This window comes from Homo sapiens, chromosome 10 (assembly GCF_000001405.40).
Source record: "Homo sapiens chromosome 10, GRCh38.p14 Primary Assembly".
NCBI classification, from domain to species: domain Eukaryota; kingdom Metazoa; phylum Chordata; class Mammalia; order Primates; family Hominidae; genus Homo; species Homo sapiens.
This window is the reverse complement of record NC_000010.11, coordinates 107,870,369-107,885,374: the sequence shown is the minus strand read 5'-3', so window position 1 is coordinate 107,885,374 and position 15,006 is coordinate 107,870,369. Positions and strand designations below refer to the sequence as shown.

General features: G+C 36.8%; 1 long non-coding RNA gene across 1 annotated transcript in view; it reads left to right on the top strand.

Moving 5' to 3' along the window:
* Nucleotides 1-13,799, top strand: part of LINC01435 (long intergenic non-protein coding RNA 1435) — a 197,718-nt gene extending 183,919 nt beyond the window's left edge. Inside the window, exon 5 of the long non-coding RNA NR_125760.1 lies at nt 13,622-13,799. This is a non-coding gene — a long non-coding RNA (long intergenic non-protein coding RNA 1435). The remainder of the gene's footprint in view (nt 1-13,621) is intronic.
* The last annotated feature ends 1,207 nt before the right edge of the window (nt 13,800-15,006 follow it).

Sequence of the window (15,006 nt, the reverse complement as noted above, 5' to 3'; positions counted from 1 at the left end):
TATTTATAGGTATTTTATTTTATTTGTAGCTATTGTGAAGGGGATTTACTGTCTTGATTTTTTAGATTTTTTCACTGTTGGCATATAGAAATGCTACTGATTTTTGTATGTTGGTTTTGTATCCTGCAACTTTACTGAATTTGCCAGTTCTAATAATTTTTTATTGAATCTTTAGTCTTTTTCAAATGTAAGATCATATAATCTGCAAACAAAGAATTTTACTTCTTCCTTCCTAATTTGAAAGCCATTTATTTATTTCTCTTGTCTGATTGCTCTAGCTGTGACTTCCAATACTATGTTGAATAACATTGGTGAAAATGGGCATCCTTCTCTCCTTCCAGATATTAGAGGAAAGGCTTTCAATTTTTCTTCATTCAATATGATACTAGCTGTGGCTTCGTCATAGATGGCTTTTACTATGTTGAAATGTTTCTTCTATAACCAGTGTATTAGTCCATTTTCACACTACTATAAAGAACTGTCCAAGACTGGGTAATTTATAAAGGAAAGAGGTTCAATTGACCCACAATTTAGCATGGCTGGGGGAGGCCTCAGGAAACTTACAATCATGGTAGAAGGTGAAGTGGAACCTTCTTCACAAGGCAGCAGGAAGGAAAAGTGACAAAGTGGGAAGAGCCCCTTATACGACCATCAAATCTCATGAGAACTCACTATCACAAGAACAGCATGGGGGAAACCACCCCCATGATTAAATTATCTCCATGTGTTCTCTCCCTTAACATGTGGGAATTATGGGGATTACAATTCAAAATCAGATTTGGGTGGGGACACAATCTAACCATATCACCCAGTTGTCTGGGATTTTTTGGTTGTAAAGTGATGCTGAATTTCATCAAATGCCTTTTCAGCATAATATGGCTTTTACGTTTATTCTTTTGAAATGATGTATCATATTGATTGGTTTGCATATGTCAAAACATCCTTGCATCCCTGGGATGAGTCCTACTTGGGCATGATAAATAATCTTTTAATATGTTGGTGAATGTGGTGTGCTAATATTGAGTATTTTTGCATCAATATTTATTAGCAATATTGGCCTATAGTTGTTTTTTGTTTGCTTGTTTTTTAGTATGTCTGTCTGAGTTTGGTATAAGGGGAATACTGGCCTCATAGAATGAGTTTGGAAGTATTCCCTTCTTCTGGGATGGAATATTCTCAAACTAATTTTAGGAATAATTTGAGTAGGATTGGCATTAGTTCTTCAAATGTTTTGTAGAATTTAGTAGTGAAGTCATCAGGTAAAGTTATTTCCTTTGTTAGAAGACTATTATGGTTTCAATCTCTTGTTCCTGGTCCATTCACATTTTGGGTTTCAATCTTGGTAGGCTGTATCTGTCTAGGAGTTTATTTATCTCTTCTAGGTTTTCAAGTTTACTGACATATAGTTGCTCATAATAATCTCTAATAATTCTTTGAGTTTCTGTGATATCACTTGCAATGTCTTTTTACATTTTTGATTTTATTTGGATTTTCTTTTTTTGTTAGTCTTGATAAAGGTTAAGTTTTGTTTATCTTTTCAAAAAAACAATTTTTCAATTGATCTTTTGTATTTTTCCATTTGAATTTTATTTATGCTATGACATTTATTTCTTTTTTGTACTAATTTGGGGTTGTGCTTTTGATTTTATAGTTCTTTAAGATCCATCATTATGTTGTTCATTTGAAGTTTTTCTACTTTTTGTTGTAGGCACTTATTCCTACAAACTTCCCTCTTTAGTACTGTTTTGCTGTATCTCATAGGTTTTGCTATTTGTGTTTCCACTTTCATTTGTTTCAATAAATTTTTAAAATTTCTTAAGTTTTTCATTGACCCACTGGTTATTCAGGATTATTGGGGGTTAATTTCTATATGTTCATATGCTTTCCAAATTTCCTCTTGTTACTGATTTCTAGTCATTCCATTGTGATCAGAAAATATATTTGATATTATTTCAATTTTTTGAATATTTTAAGACTTGTTCTGTGGCCTAACATATTGTCTATCTTTGAAAATGATTCCTGTGCTGAGAAGAATGTGTGTTCTGCAGACGCTGGATGAAATAGTCTGTAAATACTGATTAGGTTCATTTGGTCTCTAGTGCAGATGAGATCTGATGGATCTTTGTTGATTTTCTGTCTGGATGATCTGTCTAGTGATGGAAGTGTGGTGTTAAGATTTCCCACTATCCATGTGTTCAGATTCATTTCTCTTTAGTATCAATAAAATTTATTGTTCATATCTGGGTGCTCCAGTGTTGGATGCATATATATTTACGATAGTGATATCCTCTTGCTGAATTTATTTTTTTAACCATTAAATAATTACCATCTTTGTCTGTTTTTACAGTTTTTGTCTTGAGATCTATTTTGTCTGATATAACTACTTCTGCTCTTTTTTGGTTTGCATGTGCATGGATTATCTTTTTTTTCATCCCTTTATGTTTAGTCTATGTGTATCTTTATAGGTGAATTGTGTTTCTTATTGGCAAGAGATCACTGGGTTTTGTTTTTTAATCCAATCACTCTGTCTTTTGATTGGAGAGTTTATGCCATTTACATTCAATATTACTATTGATAAGTAAACTACTGTCATTTTGTTATTTCTTTCCTGGCTATTTTGTGGTCTTATCATTCTTCCTTCTATTCTTTGTGTTTTCCTTATTGTGGAAGTGATTTTCTCTAGTGATATGCTTTAATTTCTTACCTCATATTTTTTTATCTGTTGTTAGTTTTTTCATTTAAGGTTACCATAAGAATTGCAATTAACACATTATAACCTATTTTAAACTGATGACAACTTAAATGTAATTGCAAAACAAACACACAAACAAGAAAACTAAAACAACTCAACACTTTATCTCCACCCCTACTTTTTAAATTTTTTATTGTTTATATTTTATTATACAGTCTATGTCTAAAAAGTTTTTAGTTTTTATTTTTGATAGGCTCCTCTTTTGCTACTCAAGATATGGGTAGTTTACAAACCACAATTACAGTGTTAAAATATTCTGTATTTGTATGTGTACTTTTACCTGTGAGTTTTGTACCTTCAGATGACATCTTATTGGTTTTTAATGTCCTTTTCTTTCTGATTAACTACCTCTAATATTCTTGTAGGATAGGTCTGGTATTGACAAAATTCCTCAGCTTTTGTTTGGGAAAATCTTTCATGTTTGAAGGATATTTTCACTGTATATAATATTCAAGGATAAATATATTTTCCTTCAGCATTTTAAATATATCATGCTACTTTCCCCTGGACTGTAAAATATCCAGTGAAAAATCTGCTGCCAGACATATTGGAGCTCCTTTATGTGTTTTTTTCCTTTTCTCTTGCTGTTTTTAGGATTCTTTCTTTAACCTTGATAGTCTGATTATTAAATGTCCTGACGTAGTCTATTTGGCTTAAATCTCCATGATGTTACATAATTATTTTGTACTTGAATATTGATATCTTTCTCTAGGTTTGGAAAGTTCTGTTATTATCCTTTTGTATAAAATTTCTACCTCAGTCTTTACCTGCTCTTTAAGGCCAATAACTCTTAGATGTGCCCTTTTGAGGCTATTCTCTAGATCTTATACACATGGTTTATTAATTTTTATTTTTTCTTTTATCTATTCTGACTTTCTACTTTCAAATAGCTTGTCTTCAAGCTCACTATTCCACTCGTTCAGTTCTGCTGTTGAGAGACTGATGTATTCTTCAGTTTGTCAATTGAATTTTTCAGCTCCAGATTTTCTGCTTAATTATTATTATTTCACTCTTTATCTCATGATTCTGAATTCCTTCTGTGTTATCTTGGATTTTATTGGAATTCCTCAATAAAGCTACTTTAAATTATCTGTCTGAAAACTCATGTACTTCTGTTACTCTGGAATTGATCATCAGTGTCTCATTTAGTTCATTTAGTGAGGTCTTGTTTTCCTGTATGGTCTTGATGTTTGTGTATGTTCACTGATATCTGGGACTGCAAATCATGTATTTATTGTGGTCTTTGCAGTCTGGGCTTATTTATACCCATCCTTCTTGAGTAGGCTTTCCAAGTATTAAAGGGAATTGAGTGTTGTGATCTAAATCTGTGGTCACTGCACCCATTTGTGCATTCGAGGGCACTGCAGGCCCCATAATGCTGTAACTTTTACAGACTTGTAGAATTATTGCCTTAGTGGCCTTGGGTAAGATTGTGGAGAATTCCCTGGATTTCCAGGAAGAGTCTCTCTCTTGTTCTTCTCCCTTATTTTCCACCCAAACAGAGTCTCTCTTTTCTGTGCTGAGTTGCCTGGAGTTGAGGGAAGGGTGACACAAGCATTCCTGTGGCCACTACTTACTGGGACTGTGCTGGGTAACACCTGAAGTTGGCACAGTACTGGTCCTTGCCCCAGGCCTGGCATGCTTACTTCTTGGCTGCCACTTGTGTTACTCCAAGACCCAAGGACTCTGTAGACAGGAAATAATGTATCTTGCCAGCACTGGGTCTTTCTTTTTAGTGCAGCCAGTTCCCTTCTGGCCCAGGGTAGGTCTAGAAATGGCATCCAGGAGCTTAGGGCCAGGATCGGGGGCTTTAGGAACCTGTTGTGTGCTTTATTTTACTGAGGCAGAGCTGGTAGGTTGCAAGACAAAGTCCTCTTTATTTTTCCCTCTCCCTTCCTCAAGCAGAAGTCACTGCTCATGATTACCACTGCTCAAGGCCCAGAGCCACTACAATCAGAGTACTGCTGGGTTTTTTTTTTTTTCAAGGCCCAAGCACCCCTTAATCAGCAAGTGTAAGTCCTTCTAGGCCTGGTTCACCCCATTCAGGGCATGAGTTCCCTTCTGGCTCAGGGTAGGTCAAGAAATGCCCTCCAATGAGCTAAGGCCTGAAACTTGGGACTTTAGGAGTCTGCTTGTTGCTTTATTTTACTGTGGCTCAGCTGGTACCCAAGTTGCAAGACAATGTCTTTCATACTCTCCTTTCATCAAGCCAGGAGTCTCTCCCCAGGGCCACCACACCTGGGAATGTGCTAGGTCACACCTGACGCCAGCACAATGCTGGGACTTGCCCTAGGCCTGTGGCAACTGCTGCTTGTCTATTACTGCCATTTATTTAATGCCTAAGGGCTCTTTAGTCAGCGGGTAGTAAATTCTGGCAGGACTGTGTCCTTATCTTCAGGGCAGTGGGTTCTCTTTTGGCCAAGATGGGTCCAGAAATGTTGTCCAGGAGCTGTGGCCTGGAATGGCAACTTTAGAACCCTGCTTGGTGCTTTGACTGTGGCTGAGCTGGTATCCAAGTTGCAGGAATAAGTCCTCTTTACTCCTTCCTCTCCTTTCCTCAAGCAGAAGGACTCCCTCCTGGAGCTGTGAGCTATGTTACCTGGTATTGGAGGGAGGGCTATTACAACTCTTCCTTAGTCACCTCAGTAGTTGTTTCACTGGGTCTTATGTACCCCAGGTCAACTGGCTCTGAGTACAGCACAGCACCAAAACTTGCCCAGGAATTTCTGGCCTTGTGGTCTGCACTGTTTTTCAGGCCTATTTAAGACCTTAGAGCACTTTAGTCCACGCTAGTGGGGCATGCTAAAACTCAGGTTTTGATCACTGGGATGGATGATTCCTCTCTGGTTAGTGCTGGCCTACATATTCCCTCCATGGCTGCAGCCCAATTCTGCCCTGTGATGTTTTCCACTGTGACAGGGTAGCATTGAGTTCCAATGCAAAATCCCATAGACACTTTGCTCTCCCTCCCCCAAGTGCACAGATTCTCTCTCCATGCCATGCTGCACTGCTAGGGGATGGGGAAAGAGTGGTGTTGACAATTAAAGACTGTCTTTCCTACCCTCTTCAGCACCTCTTTCCTTGCTATGACGTTAAATCCAAGTTCTGTGATTGTTCACCTGATTTTTTAGTTCCTATGAAGATGCTTTCTTGTGTGGATAGTTGTTAACTTTGGTGCTTCTGCAAGGGTATGATCACTGCAGGGTTCTATTCAGTCACCTTGTTCTGCCTCTTTCTAGGCTCTAAGTCTGCTTTGCTAGAACTTTTAGTAAGAAATTTCAGACTGGGCTTTTAAAAGCTTCTCAGAACTAAAAAGCCAAACCAAGGACTCACCATCAAACCGTGCCTGTAATACCTATAGATAGGGGTGAATTCCTCTCTTTGTAGTTCCTCAAGTATCTTGAGGTTCCTGGGCCTGCGAGAAAGTGACATTCCTTTCCCGTCTCTCAAGCAACCATGTGAACCATGTATTCCAGGTACCACACCATTTATTTCCCATAGGCTTTATTGGCCCCATGAAGTCAACCCTAGTTCCTTAAAGTTGTTTGTTCATATCAGAAAGTAAGACATCACAGTCAAAGCCTTGGTAGCATAACCACTGTTTCCAATTGTGTTTTGTTACAAGAAGAACAAGTTTTTTTTTTTTTATTAAGCTTATGCAAATGTCTATATTGCCATTGGGGGAAGAAAAAAAGGAATATTCATGAAGAGTGTCCAAATTCTGGAGAGATCAAGTTGGGGGAAAAGTAAATGTTTGCATTTTTATACACAAAATTGTACTTTACCAAATTGCTATATGGTATAGATAGCTTAAAAGAAAAAGAGGGTTTTCTTAAATCTGGAAAAATAAACATTTAAAGAACAAGCAATGTTTCAAAAAAAACAGTCATTAAACAATTATCACCATCCATCCATTGAGACCCATGTAACTCTTGCTCTACTTGATGGGTTAACAGCTTCATTAACCTGTCCATATCTTCACTAGAGCACTGGATGGTCATACCCAGTCCAATGGTATGATCTTAAAGTTATCAGGAGTCTGTACTTGTCAGTCATTTCCATGAATTTTCTTGAAGATAAAGCACTTTTGGATTTTACATACTTAATGTCTGTAGATGACAAAAGACTTAAAAATAGACATGATTAAAGATCTGATGAGAGTTTATTAAAATGTAATTGACAATAAAATTTGGTTATCTCTGAAACATAATATTTAAAAATAACTGGGATTATGACTGATTTACCAGGACTTATCAGTTTTCTAGGAATTTTACAAAATGTCTGGAACACGTATTAATAATGTATATACATATAACTCAAGGTTAAATATCATTTTTTTCCAGTTTTAATTTTCTATTACTTTAAATTCTGGGGTACATGTGCAGGATGTGTAGGTTTGTTACATAGGTAAATGTGTGCCATAGGTGGTTTCCTGTACCTATCAACCCATCACCTAGTTATTAAGCCCAGCATGCATTACCTATGTTTCCTGATGTTCTCCATCCGCCTACCCCCTCCCACCGATAGGCCCCAGTGTGTGTTGTTCTCCTCCCGGTGACCATGGGTTCTCACTGTTCAGCTCCCAGTTATGAATGAGAACATGTGTTTGGTTTTCTGTTCCTGCATTAGTTTGCTGAGAATAATGGCTTCCAGCTATATCCATGTCCCTGCAAAGATATAACCTCATTCTTTTTCATGGCTGCACAGTATTCCATGGTGTATATGTACCACATTTTCTTTATCCAGTCTTATCATTGATGGGCATTGATTCCATGTCTTTGCTGTTGTGAATAATTCCACAATGAACACACATGTGCATGTATCTTTATAATAGAATTATTTGTATTTCTTTGGGTATATATACACCCAGTAATGAGATTGATAGGTCAAATGGTATTTCTGGTTCCTAGGTCTTTGAGGAATCGCCACACTGTCTTCCACAATGGTTGAACTAATTTACATTCCCAGCCACAGTGTAAAAGCATTCCTGTTTTTCCACAGACTCTCCAGCATCTGTTGTTTCTTGACTTTTTAATAATCACCGGCCCGGCATGGTGGCTCACGCCTGTTTGTAATCCCAGCACTTTGGGAGGCGGAGGCAGGTGGATCACGAGGTGAAGAGATAGAGACCATCCCGGCCAACATGGTGAAACCCCATCTCTACTAAAAATACAAAAATTAGCTGAGCGCATGGTGGTGAGCTCCAAGTAGTCCAAGCTACTTGGGAGGCTGAGGCAGGAGAATTGCTTGAACCTGGGAGGTGGAGGGTCGCAGTGAGCTGAGACTGCACCACTACACTCCAACCTGGTAGCAGAGCAAGAGTCTGTCTCAAAAAAAAAAAAAAAAAACAACAAACAACAATCACCATTCTAACTGGTGTGAGATGGTATCTCATTGTGGTTTTGATTTGCATTTCTAATGATCCATCATGTCAAGCTTTTTTTCATGTTTGTTGGTGGCATAAATGTCGTCTTTTGAGAAATGTCTGTTCATGTCCTTTGCCCACTTTTTAATGGGGTTGCTAGTTTTTTTTTGTAAATTTGTTTAAGTTTCTTGTAGATTCTGGATATTAGACCTTTGTCAGATGGATAGATTGGAAAAATATTCTCCCATTCTGTAGGTTTTCTGTTCTCTATGATGACAGTTTATTTTGCTGTGAAGAAGCTCTTTAGTTTAATTAGATCCCATTTGTCAATTTTTTCTTTTGCTGCAATTGCTTTTGATGTTTTTGTCATGAAATCTTGGTTTGTGCCTATGTGCTGAATGGTATTTCCTAGATTTTCTTCTAGAGTTTTTAGTTTGGGGTTTTACATCTAAGTCTTTAATCCATCTTGAGTTAATTTTTTATGCAGTATAAGGAAGGGGTCCAGTTTCAATTTTCTTCACATGGCCAGTCACTTCTCCCAGTTCCATGTATTAAATAGGGAATCCTTTCTCCATTGCTTGTTTTTGTCTGGTTTGTTGAAGATCAGATGGTTGTGGATGTGTGTTCCTATTTCTGAGTTCTCTATCCTGTTCCATTGGTCTATGTGTCTGTTTCTGTACCAGTACTATGCTGTTTTGGTTACTGTAGCCTTGTAGTATAGTTTGAAGTCAGGTAGCTGATGCCTCCAGCTTTGTTCTTTTTGCTTAGGATTGTCTTGGCTATACAGGCTCCTTTTTGGTTCCATATGAATTTTAAAATAGTTTTTTCTAATTCTTTGAAGAATGTCAATGGTAGTTTAATGGGAGTAGCATTGAATCTGTAAATTACTTTGGCCAATATGGCCATTTTCGCAGTATTGATTCTTTCTATCCATGAGGATGGAATGTTTTTCTATTTGTGTCCTCTCTGATTTCCTTGAGCAGTGGTTTGTAGTTCTCTCTGAAGAAGTCCTTTACTTCCCTCGTTAGCCATATTCCTGGGTATTTTATTCTCTTTGTAGCAACTGTGAATGGGAGGTCATGCATGGTTGGGTTCTCAGCTTGTCTATTGTTGGTGTAAATGAATGCTTGTGATTTTCGCACATTGATTTTATATCCTGAGACTTTGCTGAAGTTGCTTACCAGCTTAAGCCTTAGGGCTGAGAGGATGGTGTTTTCTAAATATAATATCAGTTAAACATCATTTCTTACTTGACAATGCCTCCCATATAATTTAACATATCAAATAAACCTAATTAGCCTAACATGTCTCTTTTACAAGAAAAGAAAAAAATTATCTTGACAAATCTCAGAAGCCTGTTTAGAAAATCTCAAACTAATTCAAGGTCAAAAAAGACTTAATTTAAAAGTGAATTACTGGGAGTTTCTCAAAAATATCAAAAGGTTTAAAGTATTTGATGAAAAGACCACAGAACACTTTGAAATAAAATCAAAGAGACACAAGATTTCAAAGGCAAATACAGAAAATTAACGTAGTTGTAGATAAAATGAAATTAAATCAAAATGACACAAGATTTCAAAGGCAAATGGAGAAAATTAACATAGTTGTAGAAAAAAACCTTAGCTCTTTTAATATTGAGAATATTTGATTGTCAAGTAATCAAAGATATAATAATTAAAACATGAAACAGTTATTTTGACAAAACACAATCTTCCCCACCCTCCTTAAGAACAATCAAAAGGTAAAGAAATTTTACTTGCTATATTTTACCAATATTCCAAGAACATCTTGCTTTTAAAAGGGATGACAAATTCTAGTTTTACATCTCTATACTTTGATTTAATATCAAAGTAATAAAAGTAGCCTTAATTGCTATTTTTTAAAAACATAATAAATTCATTCCATTTTAGTCAGTTTGACCACTCAAATTTCTCTTTCCCTTTGTCACCCCTTCAGACTTTCTATATCCATTCAGTTTTTATTCATTCTTCCTTATTCATTCTTAAACAACCTTTCAAAATCTCTTACCTAGACAGAAATTTTTTTCTCAGCAAAAAATCTCATCCTCATACCTTACAACATCTTACTTTCCTTGTACATTTTGTATACACTTGTTTTCCTTATTACTAGGAGTTTGATTTACATATTAGAATGTTAAGTCTTAGTAACCCATTTTCCTGTGAAAACCTAGGAATAAGAAATTTTAAATGGTCTGAATACACATTTTATAATTTCTAGGAACACATGCTTCCTCAGAACAATTTTTTAATATGAAACAGAGCATGTTTACTGAGAGACTCAACTATTTTTTTCTTTTTATAAACTAACAAGCCAAAATAAACTGAAACTTGTATTCAGCAATTAATATTTCAGTGTTTTATTTTATTTGGAAATGACATACACATTTAATTAATATCCATCACCTAAGGGTATAGTTACCAAAGAGATTGGGAAACCATTTTAAGTAGACATAACATGATTATTGTCTAAAAGCTTATAAACATTTATTCTACTTATATCTATTTCATTCACTTGTTCCTTGCAATTATGCTTAGATTACTTATGAAATTTAAATGAGATGACTAGCTTTGTCTAATATATCAAGTATTTCCCTGTCGACTATTTTTATAGCACCTGCATTTAGGCAAGTATCACAAAATCAAGAATGTAAAAAGTTAAATAATTGGGCTTTTGTTTTTTGGCTGTGCTTTATATACATAAAGTAATGGACATTGCACTTTCTCATGTGCATTTGTTCTTAGGTTGAACCAATTATCTTAGGATTTTAAACATCTAATGAAAATAAAAGTTGTGTATCTACATTATATTTAATGCTAACAACTCTAAAGACATGTTGTTTTAATTAAGCCAATGACATCCTTATTGACCAAAGTTTACTAAGCTAACAATTTTTTAAACCCTTATTTTTCCTTAAGTCAATTAAGTAGAGGTCATTTGGAGGTAGAAAAATATCATATTATATAACATATGTATATATGTAGCCATCCATAAACACAGACAGAACAGATAACTCCGCTTTCACTCTAAACTTTAGCCCCATGTCAGCTATAGTAATTCAAAACTTAGTGAATATGGCATATTGAACAAAGTAAGGTTACCTGCTCAGATGGTTAAAGCTTTTAAGAGTTTCCATTTGCTGGTTTCCAAATAGTCTTCTCCTTCCCTCCTTCCTTCTTCCTTCCTTTGTTTTTTTATTTTCTTTCTTTTGTTTTTATCTGAGAATTATTTCTTAAATTTGCATTTCAAAAGTAATGGTTCTTGGGTAAGACATCTCAAGGGCACAGAGGAAGAATGCACATTTACCAAGCAGTTTTTGGAAGCATATTTGCCTATTATCAGATGTCTAGGGTAATTACTATTTAAACTTTTCCTTCTTAATTGCAGGACAGTTCCATTTTCAATGTCTTGATTTTCTAAAGTATCTACAAGCATCTTGAGATACATAGATGAGGTTTGGGAATTAGTAAGAAGGATAGGTGAGTTTGAATTTCTTCTAGAGGCACACTTCTATCTTTGTAAAGACTCAATTTGTAAAACAAGGACAGTTGTTTTTAATTCTTCAAAGAATTGGGTTGCAACCTAAATAATATCAAGGGTTTGACTCATCCATCCTGCATTATCTTCAACTTGCTCCTTTACATCAGGGAGAAGATTTCCCACTAAGATGGAAATCAAAAGATTCCTTTATTCTATATTTAGAACTGTTCCTCTTTGAAATGTTATAGTAAACTGTTTTTTTTCCTTTCTATGCATATAGTTCCATTTTAGCTTTGGAGAGAAAGCCTAAATTCTGTTACACTCTGAATATAAACCAAAGTTCTAAAACAAAGTTATACCTAACAGGTGACTCAATTCTAAAACTAATAAGCCTTTTATGGGTGCTGAACCACAGACGCACCCATCTTCAATGCAAAAGTAAAATGATACATTTCTTCCAAGAGTTAGTCACTCCAAACACATACAGAAGAAAGACAGTGTCTCTGTGAGTTGGCAACAGTTGGTATACTACGTGCAAATGGGGTGCAACCAACATTTCTTTCTGACCATATTCTTGGGAGCTCCCAACCTACATACCCCTGGCAGGCGGAAGGCCAAGCCAAGATCTCAGCTCTCCTTTGGAGAAAGAGAATGAGTAACAAATGGGTACTCCAAAGCCAAGAGTCATAATTCAAATAAATTCTTACAAATGTTTCTCTCCTGAGCTAAAGGAGTTTACTGAGGAAATTGAGATGAATTTGCAGAAGATGGGTTTTAATTAGAGACCCAAAGATCAAATGAGCTTTTAGAGGGTCGGGGACATGGACATAGGGAAGTAATGAGGGCAGACAAGGGAATTTATGGTCAGTTTAAAGAATTTTAACTTTGTTCTAAATCTGATTTCTCCTTTTTAATATTGCTAAGGAAGTCTCCAAGGCAATCTGTTACGGTTCTTTGTGTCTTCTTTTCAGTTTGATTTTTCCATATGCACCAATAAGACAGTTGTTTAGGATGAGAGCTCTCTCAAACTTTTTTCAAATTTAACCAATTTATTTATTCTAGAAGCAACTCAAAGCCGTAAGACTTTTCATGAAAAGACTTTTCAGGTTTAGAATACCATGATGGAAATGGTGTTCCTAAAGTGGATACCGAAAATGCAGTCCCCATGATCTAAAAAGTTAACTGTCAGAGATAAACTAAGAAAGCAAAGAGTTTCATTGCCAGAGGTGGTAAGAACAGTACTTGTGAAAACGGTGTCTCTGGTCTCCCGCAGAAAATTGGGGTGCCTCCAGTCACTGAACCATTATGTGTCATTGGTGACACCAATAAGGCACTACTGAGACTGGACTTTCTCAGTGCTTACCAAGAAATTGAAGGTTGAGACAACAAAGGCCCTTATGGATTGGAACCTCTCATTAAGACAAACTCACTTGAGAACTATCAGGATTAAACAGATACTGCTGGTTGTGACTTTGTGTCTGCAGCTTCTAGCCTATTCAACTGGCTGTCCGACGCAAGCCGGCACACTTGCCTGCCAGCTGGCAGAGACCAAAGACAGTGTTCTCACTGGTCAAATAGCCAGATTCTCAGGACATAAAACAAGATAAAAGGAGAACCTCACACTTTTTTTGTGGTCTCAGAGACCCTACAGCAAAGTTTGTCTAAACAGACATCACTCTAGTGAGAACTGTGGACTTACCTGGCTGTGAGGCCAGCTCAAATAATAAGCTTATCTAAGCCTTATGCCTGTGTTCTTACCCTCTGATTCTCACCCTCTGATTCTCCTCTTTATGACACATGAAATAGAAAAAGGAAAAAAAAATGACCATCTGAGAGGGAAGGGGTCAGAAAACATGAGTACTCATACCCCCGCCAAAAAAAAAAAAAAAACCACATTGATGTATGTGTGTGAACAAGAACTAGTTGACGTTTTTTTCCTGCTAATTCAAATGTAGAAAGGGAAAAAGACAAACTCCTACTACTCTTGCTTTGACCACACTTTGTAGGCAGAGATCTGGGAACCTGATGTGGGAAGAAATCTCATCTGTGACCACGATTTTGTCAGGAGTCACGGGATTCTATAGCTGCAGCAAACCTGGAGCAAACTGGTCCCCACCAATCTGGGTGAGACAAACCAATGATGACTGAAAATCACAATAAAATTGTAATACTCGAGATCTCAAAGAGATGATTCAGGAATTTTTTTTTTTTTTTTTTTTTTTTTTTTTTTTTGAGACGGAGTCTTGCTCTGTCCCCCAGGTTGGAGTGCAGTGGCGCGATCTGGGCTCACTGCAAGCTCCACCTCCCGGGTTCACGCCATTCTCCTGCCTCAGCCTACGGAGTGGCTGGGAGCGCCTGCCCACCACCATGCCCAAATTTTTGGTATATTTTAGTAGAGACGGGGTTTCACCATGTTAGCCAGGATGGTTTTGATCTCCTGACCTTGTGATCTGCCCAACTTGGCCTCCCAAAGTGCTGGGATTACAGGCATGAGCCACCGTGCCCAGCCCGTTTTTTTTTTTGTTTGTTTGTTTTTTGAGACAGAGTCTTGCTCTGTCACCCAGGCTGGAGTGCAGTGGCACAATCTCAGCTCATTGCAGCCTCCACCTCCGGGGTTCAAGTGATTCTTCTGCCTCAGCCTCTTGAGGAGCTGGGATTACAGGTGCATGCCACCACGCCCAGCTAAATTTTGTATTTTTAGAAGAGATGTTGTTTCACCATGTTGGTCAGGCTGTTCTTGAATTCCTGACCTCAGGTGATCTACTGGCCTCGGCCTCCCAGAGTGCTGGGATTACAGGTGTGAGCCACTGCACCCGGCCCCCTTCCTTACTTCTGTATAAATAATTTTTAAAGTATTTGGAAAAATGGCCAAATGGCTAGTATCATAAAATATTAATAAATCCAGATTAGTAGATTCTATTACTTTGTCTCACCACTTTAACTTTCTCTTAAAGTGTTATGTACAAGACCAAGAATTAGTGTGTAGCACTAAGAATTCTTACTTCCAACAATTATCAGCCATCTTTTATTAGATTGATTCAGAGTATAAAATTGTGACGTTATTTAAATGGAACTGAGATTGTAATCACCAATCTTAAGCAAGATTTCAGTCTTGTTCAACAACTGGTAAGTTTCCAGTGTTGGGGGGAAATGAAATGGAATTCCCATGTGGATTCTACATGAGCAATTGGACAGACCTTTAATAGCTCTAGTATTTTTGAATCTTTGGAGGATGAGTGGATTTGACAAGAAGGTATGTTTGGCTATTCTCAAAGCTCTACTATAGTTGTTAATTACAATGATAGTTAAAGGTGTAGATATTAAGAGTTAAATAATATTCATAGTCTATGAAGCCACAAATGTCAGGCAGGTAAGGTTCATAAGTTAGGCA